The sequence below is a fragment of the Homo sapiens genome, chromosome 2 (genome assembly GCF_000001405.40).
Source record: "Homo sapiens chromosome 2, GRCh38.p14 Primary Assembly".
Lineage (NCBI taxonomy): Eukaryota > Metazoa > Chordata > Mammalia > Primates > Hominidae > Homo > Homo sapiens.
Window position 1 is genome coordinate 172,741,534 of NC_000002.12, and position 15,949 is coordinate 172,757,482.

Sequence of the window (15,949 nt, forward strand, 5' to 3'; positions counted from 1 at the left end):
ACACTGCATAGCTCTAATCTAATCTATTCTTCCTCCTTAAATCCTCACCCACCTTTGAAAAAAAAACTAACATCTTTTTATTGTGGAAAAAATCAAAATATACAAAAAGAAGAAATAGCAGTATGATTCTTAATTCTTTTTGTTTGTGTGTGTGTTTTTAGACAGGGTCACTCTGTCACCCAGGCTGGAAGGCAGTGGTTTGATCACAACTCACTGCATCCTTGACCTCCTGGGTTCAAACGATCCTCCTGCCTCAGCTTCCTGAGTAGCTGGGACCACAGATGTGTATCTCCATGCCTGGCTAATTTTAAAAATTTTTTGTAGAGATGGAGTCTCCCTATGTTGCCCAGGCTGGTCTCAAACTGCTGGGCTGAAGTGATCTTCCCACCTTGGCCTCCCAAAGTGCTGGGACTATAGGCTTAAGCCACTGTGCCCAGCCAGTATGATCTGTGCCACCCCTTCCCTGGCTCCAACATCATCAACTTACAGCCAACCTTGTTTTGTTTATACCTTCACGCGCTCCCCACTCCCCCCAGGATTATTTTCAAGCAAATCCCATGTATTTCATCTGTAAATATTTTAGTATATGTCTCTAAAAGGTAGTGACTTTTTATAAAGAAAACAATACCACACACATTAAACAACTTGACGTTAGTTCTCTAATATAATCAATTATTCAGTCAGTGTTCAAATGTCCCCATTTACCTCATAACTTTCTTTTTTGCAGTTTGTTTGTATCAAGAGCCAAATAAGTTGCATTTAGTTGATATGTCTATAGGTCTGGGTTCTCTCTTTCTCTCTTTTTCTTCCTTGTAATACATTTCTTGAAGAAACTGGGTTGTTGTTGTTTTTTTCAGTCTGAATTTTCATTGTACCTCCATGCAGTTTTTTAAAACATGTTCCTTTGTCCCCTGTATTTCCTGTAAATTAGTATTTGGGTCTAGAGTTTGACTTTTTGGTAAGAATGCATCACAGAAGTGTTATATATTTCCATAATGAGGTATATAATGTCAAGTGATCTCTTTTCATAATGTTAGCAATATATTGTTTTTAAAGTTTAATGCTTGGGAATTATCTATTTGCAATTTATTGGGAGACATTTCACTGTGGCCTCAAATACATGGGAGCACATGACATATATATTTGGAGTAATTTGAGAACAATACAACCTCATATGTAATTAGGGTTAAATTCTGTTGTGCTGATTTTACTTGCTTTAATCTATTAGGAAAGGAAAGTTTAGCCAGACCTGGACTCCCTCAGACTGGGGATACATGTAGGATTGGTGTGCTCAATCCACACCCTTGACCCTGCTGCCTGGTCTCCTGCATGCAGCCTGGGAGCTGGAAAGAGTCTTCAGAGGAAAAGTGGTGCTTAGCAAAGCAAATCCAGCCTCTTTGTCTTAGTTGGAGTTCTCTCAAATGGATTTCTGGCCCCTCCTGTGAGGTGGGACTGGCAGATACCTTTTGTTGGAATTTCCCATGAGCTTAGAAGATTTTATGGCCCTCTCATCGTAGCTGCTTATTGTCCTGCACCACCTCCTCACACCCCATGCAGCTAGTTTTTCTTCAGTCAGAATAAAATCACGTTTGTGCATCCTCAACAGTGGTCAATGAGAGTGGGTTTTTCCTCCAGTACTTTCACGTCACAGATGAGGGAGAGACTGCCCTAGGAGTACTGAGAGACTGAGGAAAGAGAAAGAGGATGGAAAGAACTGGGTGGGGAGGGAGACAGCGAGAGATCCAGCTGAACATCTGACAGAAAACAATCTGGCTGACGAGCGGAGGCGGACAATCCTGGTGTGTTGACTCAGCTGCATCCGTGTGCACCCTCTTGCTTCCCCTGCCCCAGAAGAAACACAAAGTGCTGCCACTACTCTCTTTTCTCTCCATGCCAGCTCTTTCTTGGCGCAACTATCTGTTTCCTTTGCTGTAACTGCTCAGATTCCTTAAACTCTGTATCTGTGGCTTATCTTCTAGACCAGATGTATTTTTGTCTGTTGGATATTCCCACATGAATATCCCATTAATATTTTGTGGGGCAGACATTGTTTTCCTTCACCTACCTCTGCTATAGAGGCTAGAAAAACAACATAGTTATTTTCCCAATCTTCCTTCAGGTGAGGTGTCCATGTGGCACTGTCTGGCCAATGAGACATAGCAGAAGTCTACAGGAGGCTTCCAGGGAAGCTCTTGCTTTACCCGTGTATTTGATTTCCCCTTCCTCTCTTCTTTCTGCCTGGAGTTACTACCCGAGGCCCGGGCCTGTGGCAGCCATCTTGTAATCCCAGGAGCAAGTGCCCAGAGAAACACAGAGCCCCCAGTTCTGACTTTGTCCACCTGCTGAACCCAGATCAGTAGTTACCCACCTTCAGATTTTTGTTTTGTGAAGAAAAAAGCCCTATTTCTCTAAAGCATTCTTTGTTTGGTGTTCTATCATTTGCCATCAAAATGATCTCTAACCTAACAGATTGATACTTGTCTAAAGTTGACCTCATCTTTTTTAGCCCTGCTCCCCATTTGTTTCTCCTTCTTGCTTTACTATTTTATTTATGATGTCATGACTTCCTCATTCTCAGAACTTTGAAGTTATCTGCATTTTCCCTTTCCTATGTCCTTTTCCACATCTAACCAGTCACTAATTGTCTTGACTTTTATTCCACTTTTATTTCAGGGCCTTAGCATCTGGATCTCCCCGTTTTCTGTTTCCAGTCTGGAAAACATGATATAGTCAAATCAGCTTTGTCTTAGGATCAGCCAGACCTGGATTCAAATTCTGTCACCTCTACCCTCTAGCTATGTGATCTTGGCCAAGTTATTAATCTTTTTGAATCTTTGTTTTCACATCTTCAAATGAGATTCCCAGTGCCTACAGTAATGGCTATGTTGAGGTGTGTGAGCTAATGCAAACGTTGCGTGGTCATCTCTAGAGAGAAAATGTAGTGTAGAGGTTAAAAATTTAGGAGTCAGACTGTATAGGCTCAAACCCCAGTTTTAATTTTATTGATGGTGTAATTTTGGGCAAGTTATTTGGTTCTAGTAGTTACTTTATAGATTCATTGGGATTTTCCCTGTAGACAATCTTGAATGTGAATACTGGTAGTTTTACTTATTCTTTCTGATTTTTATGTCTTCTATTATTTATTTTTCTTGCCTTATTGCATTTGCCAGGAATGCCAGGACAAAATTGAATAGAAGGGGTGAGAATGGATGCTCTTGTTTTGGTTATGATCTTATAAAAAATAGTTTGCTATTTTGCCACATTAGTTGTCTTTCATGTAGTTGTTTTTTTTTAGCAAATTCCCTTTTCTGAAATTATTGAGATGATTATATTATTTTTCTGTTTTATTCTGTAAATATAGTGAATTTACATTGTCTGAATTTCAAATGTTAAGCCAACCTTGCCTTCCTAGAATAGATACTACTTTGTCAACATGCATTATACTTTTTATATATTACTTTATTCAACTTACTAATATTTCATTAATGCTACTTTCATGTCAATTCATGAGGGATATTAGCCTATAACTTTCTTTTCTTATTTTAGTATCAGGATTATTCTGGCTTAATCAAGTGAATTAAGAAACATTTCCTTTTTTCCTATTTTTTCCCTCTATTTTTAAATGAACTTATATAAGATCAATGCTATTTATTTTACAAATGTCTTATAGATGTCATCTGGGCCAGGAGTTTTCTATATGAAAAGCTTTTTAATGACAAATTCAAACTGTAATAGAGGACTGTTCAGATTTTCTTTTCATGTCAGTTTTTATAGTTATTTCAAGGAGTTTGTCCATTTCATCTAAGTTATCAAATTTATTGACATAGAGTTGTTCATAGTATTCCTTATAATCCTTTTAATGCCATTAGGATATGTAGTGTTGTTCTGTCCTTTGTATCCCATATTGGTAATTTGTGTCTTTTTTTTTTAATTCATTCTTACTAGGAGCTTCCCAATTTTGTTAATATTTTAAAAGAAACAACTTTTAGTTGATTTACTGTTTTCTTTGAGAAATTTATTGATTTTTGCTCATTTTTTTTTCCTTTTTTCTCCTTACTTTGGGTTTAACTTATTCTTCTTTTTCTGGCTTCTTAAAGTGGAAACTTAGTTGGTTAATTTTAACCTTTCTTCTTTACTAATATAAGCATTTCAGCTTCAATTTCTCATTTTCAACACAAGGAAGCACAGGTATTTTTTTATTCAGTATTTGTAAACTTAAACTATTTCTGCTGGAGAAGAACAATTAATCAAGCTGATACTGGGACCTCTTGACTCCCTCAGCCTCAAGAATATACTTTGCAATGTGGTGAACAATATCCTCAACAACATTCCAACAGTGATTCAGCAGTGAGTTTCACAGGCTCTTTAAATACAGCATAATTCTAAAGAAACATTAAGAAAGGGTAATTCTGCGAGGGGGCCAATATAATATACAGTTTTCAGGTGATCTGATTTAATCCAAGGAAAGATTGTAGTATATTTTAGAAATAGATGGATTGTGTTTCTTACTGAAAATCCACTATAAATATTGTTTTTTCGCATTTGAGCCGTTAACAATGATTATGATTGAGTTGCAATGACTTTGAAGTAATATTTTCCAATAGATACCTGGAATCATTCTATTCTGTGTTGTTGGCTGAATGAAGAGTAATAAGACTTTGGTGTCAGCCAAACTGGGGGAAAATTACATTCTTGTTTGGCTATCATTTGACCTTTATATTCCATTGCTTTATTTCATTTCATGTATAATTTGGTAGCCAAACAAGAATGTGTAACTTAATGGTGTTCCGTCTCTTCTCTGTGAGGATGTGGGGGCACGGGTGTATTCTCAAGGAGGAATATTGGTGCCACTCTAACAAATAGACAAATGGTGGTCAAGAGCCCACAGGTAATGCTACAGAACATAGCCCCTCTAATTGCAACTGTGGAAACCAAGGGACATATGTTAATTGCACTGGAGTAATCTTAAAATGCTTATCCGTGAGTGAAATAATTTTCTAAAAACACTTTTATTGAATAAAATTGATTGTACAATGTAAGCATATCAAAATGGATGACTTGCTGTATAGAAATATTACTTTTTTCTTTTTTTTTTTTGAGACAGAGTCTTACTCTGTCGCCCAGGCTGGAGTGCAGTGGCATGATCTCAGCTCACTGCAAACTCCGCCTCCCGGGTTCAAGCAATTCTCCTGCCCCAGCCTCCCCAGTAGCTGGGATTACAGATGTCTGCCACCATGCCTGGCTAATTTTTGTAATTTTAGTAGAGACAGGGTTTCACCATGTTGGCCAGGCTGATCTTGAACTCCTGACCTCAGGTGATCTGCCCACCTCGGCCTCCCAAAGTGCTGGGATTACAGGCTTGAGCCACTGCGCCTGGCCAGAAATATTACTTATAAATTGGTGAAAAGTTCAAGAAACCCCCCCTTAATTAAATGGAGAAATAATTTTTATAGGCCCTTAGAAAAGACTTAATAGTTGAGATGTTGAAAACAAATAGAAAAGATCTTTGATGAGAAGCAGATATTACTCACAACTTAGTAACTTGATTCTTGGTATTATGTGAAATTTCAATTCTGTTTATACCCTGGATGAAGGCATTAATGTTTTCCCTTGTGTTTGGGGCAGCGTTAGAACAGCCTTATTCTTCTAGTCATTAATTTTTCATCTTCATTGAGGCACAATTGACAAGTAAAAATTGTATAACTTTAAGATGTATGACTTGTTGCTTTGGTGTATGTATACATTGTGAAATAATTGCCACAATCAAGCTAATTAACATATTCATCACCTCATATAGTTACCTAGTATGTGTGTGTGGTGAGAACACTTAAGATCTACTCTCTTAGCAAATTGCAGTTTGAAATACAGTATTGTTAACTATGTTCACATTGTTGTATATTAGATCTCCTGAACGTATTCATCTTTTAATTTTAATTTTAATTTTATTTTTTGAGATAGGATCTCACTCTGTCACCCAGGCTAGAGTGCAGTGGCACAATCATAGCTAAGTGTAGCTTTGAATTCCTGGCTCAAGCGATCCCTCTGCCTTGGCTTCCCAAGTAGCTGGGACTATAGGCACCTACCACCATGCCTGGAAAATTTTTTATTTTTAGTAGAGACATGGTCTTGCTGTGTTGCCCAGGCTGCTCAAACCCCTGGGCTTAAGCAATCCTCCTACCTTGGCCTGCCAAAGTGCTGGGATTACAGGCAGGAGCCACTGTGTCCAGCCCAGAATTTATTTATCTCTCATAACTGAAACTTTGTACCCCTTGACCAATATCTCCCCATTTCCCCTTCCCTTCAGCTCCTGGCAACCATCTTCTACTCTCTGCTTCTAGGAGTTTGAATATTTTAGATTCTATATGTAAGTAAGATCATGCGGTATTTGTATTTCTGTGCCTGGCTTGTTTCACTTAGCGTACTGTCCTTTAGGTTCATCCATGTTGTCACAAATACCAAGGTTTCCTTTATTTTTAAGATGGAATAATATAATAATATTCATTGTGTATATATACACCACATTTTCTTTTTCCATTAATCTGTCAACAGACATTTAGGTTGTTTTCTTTCTTGGTTATTGTGAATAATGCTGCAATAAACAGAGAAATGCAGATATCTCTTCAAGATACTCATTTCATTTCCTTTGAATATGTACCCAGACATGGGCTTGCTGCATCGTAAAGTAGTTCTAATCTTAATTTTGAGGATCCTCCATAAGTTTTCAATAACATACTAATTTACATTCTGTATTAGTCTGTTTTCATGCTGCTGAGAAAGACATACCTGAGATGGGGTAATTTATGAAGAAAAAGAGGTTTAATGGACTCATAGTTCCATGTGTCTGGGGAGGCCTTATAATCATGGCAGAAGGTGAAAGGCATGTCTTACATTAGTGGCAGGCAAGGGAGAGAAAGAACCAAGCAAAAGGGGTTTCCCTTTATAATACCATCAGATCTCATGAGACTTATCCACTACCACAAGAACAGAATTGGGGAAGCTGCCCCCATGATTCAGTTATCTCCCACCGGGTCCCCTCCCACAACACAAGGGAATTATGGGAGCTACAATTCAAGATAGATTTGGGTGGGGACACAGCCAAACCATATCATTCTGCCCCAGCCTCTCCCAAATCTCATGTCCTCACATTTCAAAATCAATCATGCCTTCCCAACTGTTCCCCAGTGTTAACTCATTTCAGCATTAACTGAAAAGTCCACAGTCCAAAGTCTCATCTGAGACAAGGCAAGTCCCTTCTGCCTATGAGGCTGTAAAATCAAAAGCAAGTTAGTTACTTCCTAGATACAATGGGGTTACAGATATTGGGTAAATACTGCCATTCCGAATGGGAGAAATTGGCCAAAACAAAGGAGCCACAGGCTGCATGCAAGTCCAAAATCCAGTGGGGCAGTCAAATCTTAAGACTCCAAATGATCTCTGTTGACTCCACATCTCACATCCAGGTCACGCTGATGCAAGAAGTAGGTCCCCATGGTCTTGGGCAGCCTGGCCCCTGTGGCTTTGCAGGGTACAGCCTCCTTCCCTGCTGCTTTTAGGGGCTGATGTTGAGTGTCTGTGGCTTTTCCAGGCACATAGTGCAAGCTGTTGGTGGATCTACCATTCTGGGGTTTGGAGGACAGTGGTCCTCTTCTCACAGCTCTGCTAGGCAGTGACCCAGTAGCGACTCTGAGTAGGGGCTTCAATCCCACATTTCCCTTCTGCATTGCCCTAGCAGGGGTTCTCCATGAGGGCCCTGCCCCTGCAGCAAGCTTCTGCCTGGACATCCAGTTCCATACATCCCCCAAAATCTAGGAGGAAGTTTCCAAACCTCAGTTCTTGACTTCTGAACACCTGTAGGTTCAACACCATGTGGAAGCTGCCAAGGCTGGAGGCTTGCACCCTCTGAAGCTTTGGCCTAAGCTGTACCTCGGCCCCTTTTAGCCATGGATAGAGCAGCTGGGACAGCTGGGACAAAGGGCACCAAGTCCCTAGGCCGCACACAGCAGGGGGGCCCTGGGCCCAGCCCACGAAACCACTTTTTCCTCCTAGGCCTCCAGGCCATTGATGGGAAGGGCTGCTGCAAAGGTCTCTGACGTGCCCTGGAGACGTTTTTCTCCATTGTCTTGCTGACTAACATTTGGCTCCTCATTACTTATGCAAATTTCTGCAGCCAGCATGAATTTCTCCTCAGAAAATGGGCTTTTCTTTTCTATTGCATCATTGGGCTGTGAATTTCCCGAACTTTTATGCTCTGTTTCCCTTTTAAAACTGAATGTTTTTAATCCCCCCAAGTCATTTCTTGAGTGCTTTGCCACTTTGAAATTTCTTCTGCTAGATACCCTAAATCATCCCCCTCAAATTCAAAGTTCCACAAATCTCTAGGGCATGGGCAAAATGCTGCCAGTTTCTTTGCTAAAACATAGCAAGAGTCACCTTTTCTCCAGTTCCCAAAAAGTTCCTCGCCTCCTTCTGAGACCACATCAGCCTGGATTTCATTGTTTATATCATTATCAACATTTTGGTCAAAGCCATTCAACAAGTCACTAGGGAGTTCCAAACTTTCCCACATTTTCCTGTCTTCTTCTGAGCCCTCCAAACTATTCCAACTTCTGCCTGTTACCCAGTTCCAAAGTCGCTTCCACATTTTCAGCTATCTTTTCAGCAGCACCCCACTCTCCTGGTACCAATTTACTGTATTAGTCTCTGTTTATGCTGCTGATAAAGACATATCCGAGACTGGTTAATTTATAAAGAAAAAAAGGTTTAATGGACTCACAATTCCACGTGGCTGGGGAGGCCTCACAATCATGGCAGAAGGTGAAAGGCACCTCTTATATTGGCGGCAGGCAAGAGAGAGAATTAGAACCAAGCAGAAGCGTTTTTTTCCCTTTATAAAACCATCAGATGTTGTGAGACTTATCCACTACCACAAGAACAGTATGGGGGAAACTGCTCCCATGATTCAATTATCTCCTGCCAGGTCCCGTCCCGCAACACATAGGGATTATGGGAGCTACAATTCAAGATGAGATTTGGGTGAGGACACAGCCAAACCATATCACATTCCCACCAACAGTGCACAGAGGTTCCCTTTTCTCCATGTCCTCAATGACACTTGTTATTTTATGTCTTTCTGGTAATAGCCATTCTAACAGGTGTGACATTGTTTTTCACTGTAGTTTTGATTTGCATTTCTCTGATGATTAGTAATGTTGAGCACCTTTTCATACACCTGTTCACCATTTGTTTGTCTTCTTTGGAAATATGTCTATTCAGGTGTTTTGCCTGTTAAAAAAGTCAGATTACTTGTTTTTTTGGTATCAAATTATATAGGTTCCTTATGTATTTTGAATATTAACCCTTTATCAGATATATCATTTGCAAATATTTTCTCCCATTTTATAGGTTGAATTTTTTATTGTATTGATTGTTTTGCTGTGCAGTCATTAGTTATTTACTGGACCTGTTACAGCAAAAGCTGGGTTCTTGAATTTTACATGTTTTCTTTATCGACTCTTTAAAGAAACTTGGAATATAGAAAAGTTCCATATTCAGTGTCCCTTGCCATTCCTTTTGTCACTCTTCTACCTGCCTCATACTGTCTTCCATCTTCCCCCACCCAAATGTGTTGTAGGAAAAGGATCTGATTGTAGTAATTTACTTTCCTACTGTCATTCACTCATTCATTTAGAGATTTTACTATCTGCTTACCATGTGCCAGTCACTCTTGCTGGGTATACATTAGTGAGAAAAACTGTCAAAGGCCCTGACCTCACGAATTGAAATTCTAGGTGGGAAGACATTCATTCATTCAGTCAGTCTTCAAAAAACGATTTATGGGGTACCTAGTATGTGCCAGATGCTGTTCTAGCTGGTAAGGAATACAGTGGTGATAGAATAGGAGAAGTTAGATGGTAATAAATGCTATGAAGCCAAAGATAAGAGAATATGGAGGTAGAGGAACAGACGGTAAACAAATACAGACAAAACTGCACTACTGTGTCAGGCAGTGATAAGAGCAGTGAAGGAAAATCAAGGAGAGAAAAGGGGAAGAGACTGAGGGGTAGTGTTATTTTAGAGAGGGTGGTCAGAGAGGTCTTTCTGTAGAAGTGATATTTGACCAAAGACCTTGAATGAACTGAGAGGTCACCTAGTTTGAATTTAGATCAGTGTAATCCAGACTTTACTAAATAGGTGGATGAGGTATTTTACAGAACAGAGGTCGGGCTGGTTAGTGCCTGTGGTGCAAACACAGGCTGAATCAATGCGGCACTGCCCTTTTGTTTGGTAACAAGGCCTTTTTTTGGGAAAGTACCCATAGACTACTAACTGCTTTTGTTGATGTAATAGACAAGTAGCTTCACAAAACAATGAAAGGGATAGATGAAGTCCTTTTGGAATTTTGGTTTATCCTTTAAATGTTATTATGACTTAAAGATGTGAAAAATATGTTTCACTTTAGTTTTTTCTGATAATAATTTTCAGGAAAAAGAAAGCTACACCTAGAGAACTGATAAGTACCATTCAGACCAGGAAAGGTACTATCATTTAAATGGTGTTGTAAAGATACTGTTTGTGTGCTTTTGATCATGGATGCTGATGATTACAGCATGGTGGTGTCCTCATTCCCATCCTACCCATGGAATTTTGGTTTTCATATTTAACCAGTTTAGTTTCACTAGTGATGAATTTGTCTGGTACCTCTGTTGGATCAGTGTCTTAGCCAGGCCTTGAAGGCAAATGTGCTAGAGCAGGAAAGTGGTCCTGGATACCTAGAAATTCCAACAATTTCTCATTTGAAGGATTTCTTTGCTGTTATTCCACCATCTGCCTTTTGATAATGCTTTTGTATTGAATTTTTATCATATTTTATTCATAGATGAATTCAGTGATATAGCAGTATGTTTTAAAAGTTTTTCATGTCAAAAACTGAAGGTAACTTGAGAATACTAAGTCTCTGTTGTGATGTTAGGGCACCATATGTACATTAGACTTATGAATATTCCCTGATGGTATTTGAAAGTCTAGGTTGCAGAGTTAGAACTATGTAGTTAGCATCCAGGTTTTACATTCTATTTACCAAAAATAATTTAAAAACCTAGATTAGGTGTCCTTGTTTAATTACGTAAATCATCAGATCATAAATAAGGGAGCCTTCTATTGATACAAAGTGTGCAGCTATAGAACATACCAAGAGAACCATAATGAGGCAGCTTCATCTATAAGGCATAGCCAAATCTGGATGTCCAACTGGTTGAATGTGAATAGAATATAATTTTATTGTGCTCTTTTATCTCCTTGCGCTGTAGCTGTACATTATCAGCTTGTGAATGAACCTTATCTGTTCCTCAATTGAATTTTACATTATCTCTGTTGCTTTGCTTCTTACCTTTTCAGCACTTCACTGGATATTTATCTTAACAACTTTAGAGGTTCATTTTAGAATTCAACATTTAACAGGTCATGGATGTCAAAGCAATTCTAATTTTAAAGAGCCCTTGGTGTTCAGACGATTAATATATTTTTGTCTCTGTGACTGGAAGTTCTAATCCTAAATATCCACAGGAGAAATGAGCAATGAAACTGCTTCTCGGAGGAACTTACAGGAATAAAAAATGGACATTACTTAGCCCTAGTATTGTTTTGAGTTATATGAAATATCATAAAGTGGTTGATTTGCAAAACTGAAATAATTTTAAAATGTATATATGATTAATCACCTTTAGGGAAATAGTGTAGGTATTGATGAGAAGGGAGAGTGAACAATAATAAAATAAAAACAACAAAATGGAATGATTTTTTAAAAACTGGAAAATTATTTAAAAGAAAACTGTTCTTCCATTTTAGTTGAACTAAAACCTTGATTTTCTTTTTTTTTTTTAATTTACCTACAATTGATTTTTATCTGCCTATAAAGAGTTTTGTGGTCAAATTCTGCCACATAAGAATACCTCTACAAATAGAATATATTTGAGTATATTTCTTTTGAATTGGGAAAAGCAACACAGGTATACAATTGATTTTATGTACTGAATTATATTTATTCATATCATTATACAGGAAAGAAACTTCATTGATAGGGCTTTGATTTCATAGGATTGATATTGTAGTGACTGAAAAAATTTAGAAAATAACAAATTAGTAATAAGTGAAATTATAGGGGAAAAGGAAAACTTTTTTTTTTAAAGCTTACTAATGTTTAGATGCTAAACCAGATATCTGAGACAGCACTATGACTCTTCTTAACATGAGTGACATGTGACATAATTGCTACCAACACATCCCTTCCTCTTTCGGTTTGTGAGGGTTGCTGCTAGATTGCATCTGAGATGTCACAGTGTATGTACACACACACACACACACACACACACCCGACACACACCGCACACATATACACACCAGCTTCTTTCTGAGAGAGTTACCAATTAACATGTGTTGACATATCTTTATCCTTCCCAGGAGGAAAGTGGCAGGAGCTTGTGAAAAGTTACAGGCTATGATTTAAACTATGTTGTAATTGGACCAAATAAAATAATTTCTGGCTTATAATTATTAATTTTTTGCTATAAACTCTATCACCAGGAATAACAGGTCTTAACATTTTTAGCATATTTTCCTGCAGTATTTTTTTTGTGTGGGTGTTTTTTAATGTGTTTGAGCTTGAACTTTATGACTTTATACCTTTTAAAATGAACTTTATAGGATGATCATTTCCCAGGTTATTAACAGTTCTTTATAAATATAATTCGTATTGGCTGAAATCATACAGATCATGTGGCTTAAGTTTTTCCTTATTGTTGGACAACTAAGACATTTGAAAATGATTGTTGCTGTTATAAATAATGGAATAATGTTTTATATTAAAAATTTCTTGTGTTTTAGATACCTCCTTAGGATGGAGAGATATCTATAGAACTAAAATTAGTTAATGTAAGTTAAGAGATTTAAGGTTTTTAACATATTTTTAAATTACTTTTCATAAAGACAGTAAGAAGCTATTATTGATATTTTAGAAATAAGGAATTTGAGGTCTGGAAAAGTTAAATTACTCGTCCAGGGTCACATAGCTGCTAAGTGCTAGGGACCACTGGGGAATTGGAACCCCAGTCCTTTTCCACTGTAAGTGTTTCAAGTGTGTTCCTTGGAATATTAGTAGATAGGGCAAGGAAAAAAGGGCTTATGAGAAAAAATTTGGAAATGTCAAGTTAAAGCTTTTTAAAAAAATCCTCAGGCCAGGCACGGTGGCTCATGCCTGTAATCCCAGCACTTTGGGAGGCCGAGGCGGGCGGATCACGAGGTCAGGAGATGGAGACCATCCTGGCTAACACGGTGAAACCCCATCTCTACTAAAAAATACAAAAAATTAGCTGGGCCTGGTGGCAGGCACCTGTAGTCCCAGCTAATCGGGAGGCTGAGGCAGGAGAATGGCATGAACCCAGGATGCAGAGTTTGCAGTGAGCCAAGATCACACCACTGCACTCCAGCCTGGGTGACAGAGTGAGACTCCATCTCAAAAAAAAAATCCTCTTATCTCTGGACATCACCATAAAGACAAAATGATATGTGGCCGTAGAACCCTGAGGAATACTCTGGGATGTGCTTGCTGATGCCGGGCTACATTATGGTGATGAAAGCAGACTTTTGATGAGAAGTTGAGGTTCATATTCTACTGGCCCCATACAGAAACTCTTTAATTCAGGACCCATAAACATCTAACATTAATCCCTTTAGGTAAGATTAAATGACCAAAGAGGAATGGTTTAGTGACATAATTAAAATCTTACTAAATTCAGCCCCTTGAGATTTTAGATAGAAAAGTAACACAAATTGAGCTAATAACAATAATTTAAAAATTATCTTTTAAAAACGGTTTATTTATTTGAGACGAAGTTGCACTCTTGTTGCCCAGGCTGGAGTGCAGTGGTGCAATCTCGGCTCACTGCAACCTCTGCCTCTCAGTTCAAGCGATTCTCCTGCCTCAGCCTCCCAAGTAGCTGGGATTACATGTGTGCACCACCACGCCCAGCTACTATTTTTGTATTTTTAGTAGAGACAGGGTTTCACCGTGTTGGCCAGGTTTGTCTCGAACTCCTGACCTCAGGTGATCTGCCCACCTCGGCCTCCCAAAGTGCTGGGATTACAGGCGTGAGCTACTGCGCCTGGCCTAAAAACTATTTATTTTTAAATACTTATAGAGTCACAGGAAGTTGCAAAAACATGTACAGGGAGGTCCCATGTAATCTTCACCGCCAAGGGTAACTCTTACATAACCATACTACAGTACAATGTCAAAACTAGGAAATTGGCATCAGTAAAGTCCACAGAATTTATTTGGGCTTTACCAATTCTATGTGCATTCAAGTGCACATGTGTGTGTGTAGTTCTATGTAATTTCATCACTTGTAGACTCATGTAACTACCACCATACTCAAGATGCTGAACTGCTCAATCTCTCCAAGACTCCCTCTCGCCAGCACTTTGTAGCCATGCCTACCCATCTCCTGTCAATAAAAACTAGTTTTTTAAAAAAATGAGCAGTGTATATCTTAGGATATGATAGTTCCAACCCTACTTCATATCACTCATTTATTTCTATAGGACTCTGCTCATAACTGATTAAGGTTCAAATATTGTTTCGTAGATAGTATTTACTAGGACAGTAAAGTTAGCCAGTCCAGTTTAGAAAGAATTTTAACACCAAAGAAGGCTGGCCTTAATTCTGAGTTTAGGAGGGACCTTAAGCAAAATGGAAAGGTGCCTGTGTGCTCCAGTGCCGTTTCCCATGGCCCTCTGCTGCCTTACTGCACTGCCTAGCCTTTGCGCATCGCTTTGGATACCTCAAATGCCCTGGGGCTGATAGGATGACAGTCAGCTCCCACTCTTAGCTTTCACATGGCCCTCACCACTGTGGGTGAGCCTCCAGGGTCCATTTTCAACCCACATAATCTGCCATACCTATTCTGCTATACCTGTCATATCCCTAGTTGATTGTGTCTAGTCTCCCTTTTGTGTCTAGACTCCTTGGACAGGAGTCCTCTTGACTTCTTCCTCAGCCCTGTCTTGTACTTCTCTTGTAGGCTAATCTCTTAAATAGAAGAAGTAGGACAGACACCTTGTTTCCCACACCTGGAGGTGGTCACAGGATGGTAGGGCACTGCACCTTGCATCTATTTGTTCAGGACCTTGCAGTCCCAAATTTCCTAACCTTTAATAAAGTAATCTGAGCTAACGTGTTAAAGAGTTTAATGTGCTATCCCTTGCAGAAATGACTGTAGTTCAAATAAAGAATTCCTAGTGAAGTAAAAGCCTTAACTCAAAGGAAATCAGAGTGAAACTCACAGAGTTATATATCTGCCTGATGACTCTTGGAAGTAATATTTTCCAGACGTGTGCCTTCTAACCTAACCCTAATCCTAATGCACCTATCGGGGATGGACCATTTCCCAAGCATTTTGGCCAACTGAGAATTTTCTATACATGGTTTTGAAATTGTAAGAACCTCAATTTACCCAGAGTTCTGAAAACCTGCTGAGATCTTGGAGTTGATTGGAATGTGCTCTGTTTTGGAACACAAGATTAATTTGTGGATTTGCAGCAATAAACAAATGGCTGAAAGCCAAACAGTGTAGCTATTTTCAGTGAGTCTTCAGTAATCCAGCATCATAGAGAAGTTAATTTCATACAAGTTTATCCCAATTAATCCTCTAAACTTGCCATTATTTAGTAACTCTGGTAGAATATTTAATGTGACTGCTTTTCTAAAGCATACTGAGTATCATTTTTCTTTTATTTGATGATTAAGGCTCAGTATATTGAACATAAATTAGCATCCTGTGTACTTCTGTGATTTATGATTTTGAAGTATGTGGATTATCTGTTTTAATACCAGATGCCCCCAGTGCTGTTTTTAAAGTTCTGTTTGCTTTTGTTTTATTTGTCTCTTCCCTACTAC

At 38.7% G+C, this 15,949-nt stretch overlaps 1 protein-coding gene across 20 annotated transcripts in view, besides 1 other annotated feature; it reads left to right on the forward strand.

The window, feature by feature from the left end:
- Positions 1–15,949, forward strand: part of RAPGEF4 (Rap guanine nucleotide exchange factor 4) — a 317,576-nt gene that overhangs the window by 6,216 nt on the left and 295,411 nt on the right. The gene's annotated exons all lie outside the window — the stretch shown is intronic.
- Positions 1,265–2,464: an enhancer, noted in NCBI's record as "CDK7 strongly-dependent group 2 enhancer chr2:173607526-173608725 (GRCh37/hg19 assembly coordinates)". NCBI's record gives its function as "activates an origin of replication core promoter dependent on BRD2, BRD4, P300/CBP, MED14 and CDK7 cofactors, with strong dependence on CDK7, by STARR-seq in HCT116 cells {active_cell/tissue: HCT116}" and the evidence as "EXISTENCE:reporter gene assay evidence [ECO:0000049][PMID:35650434]".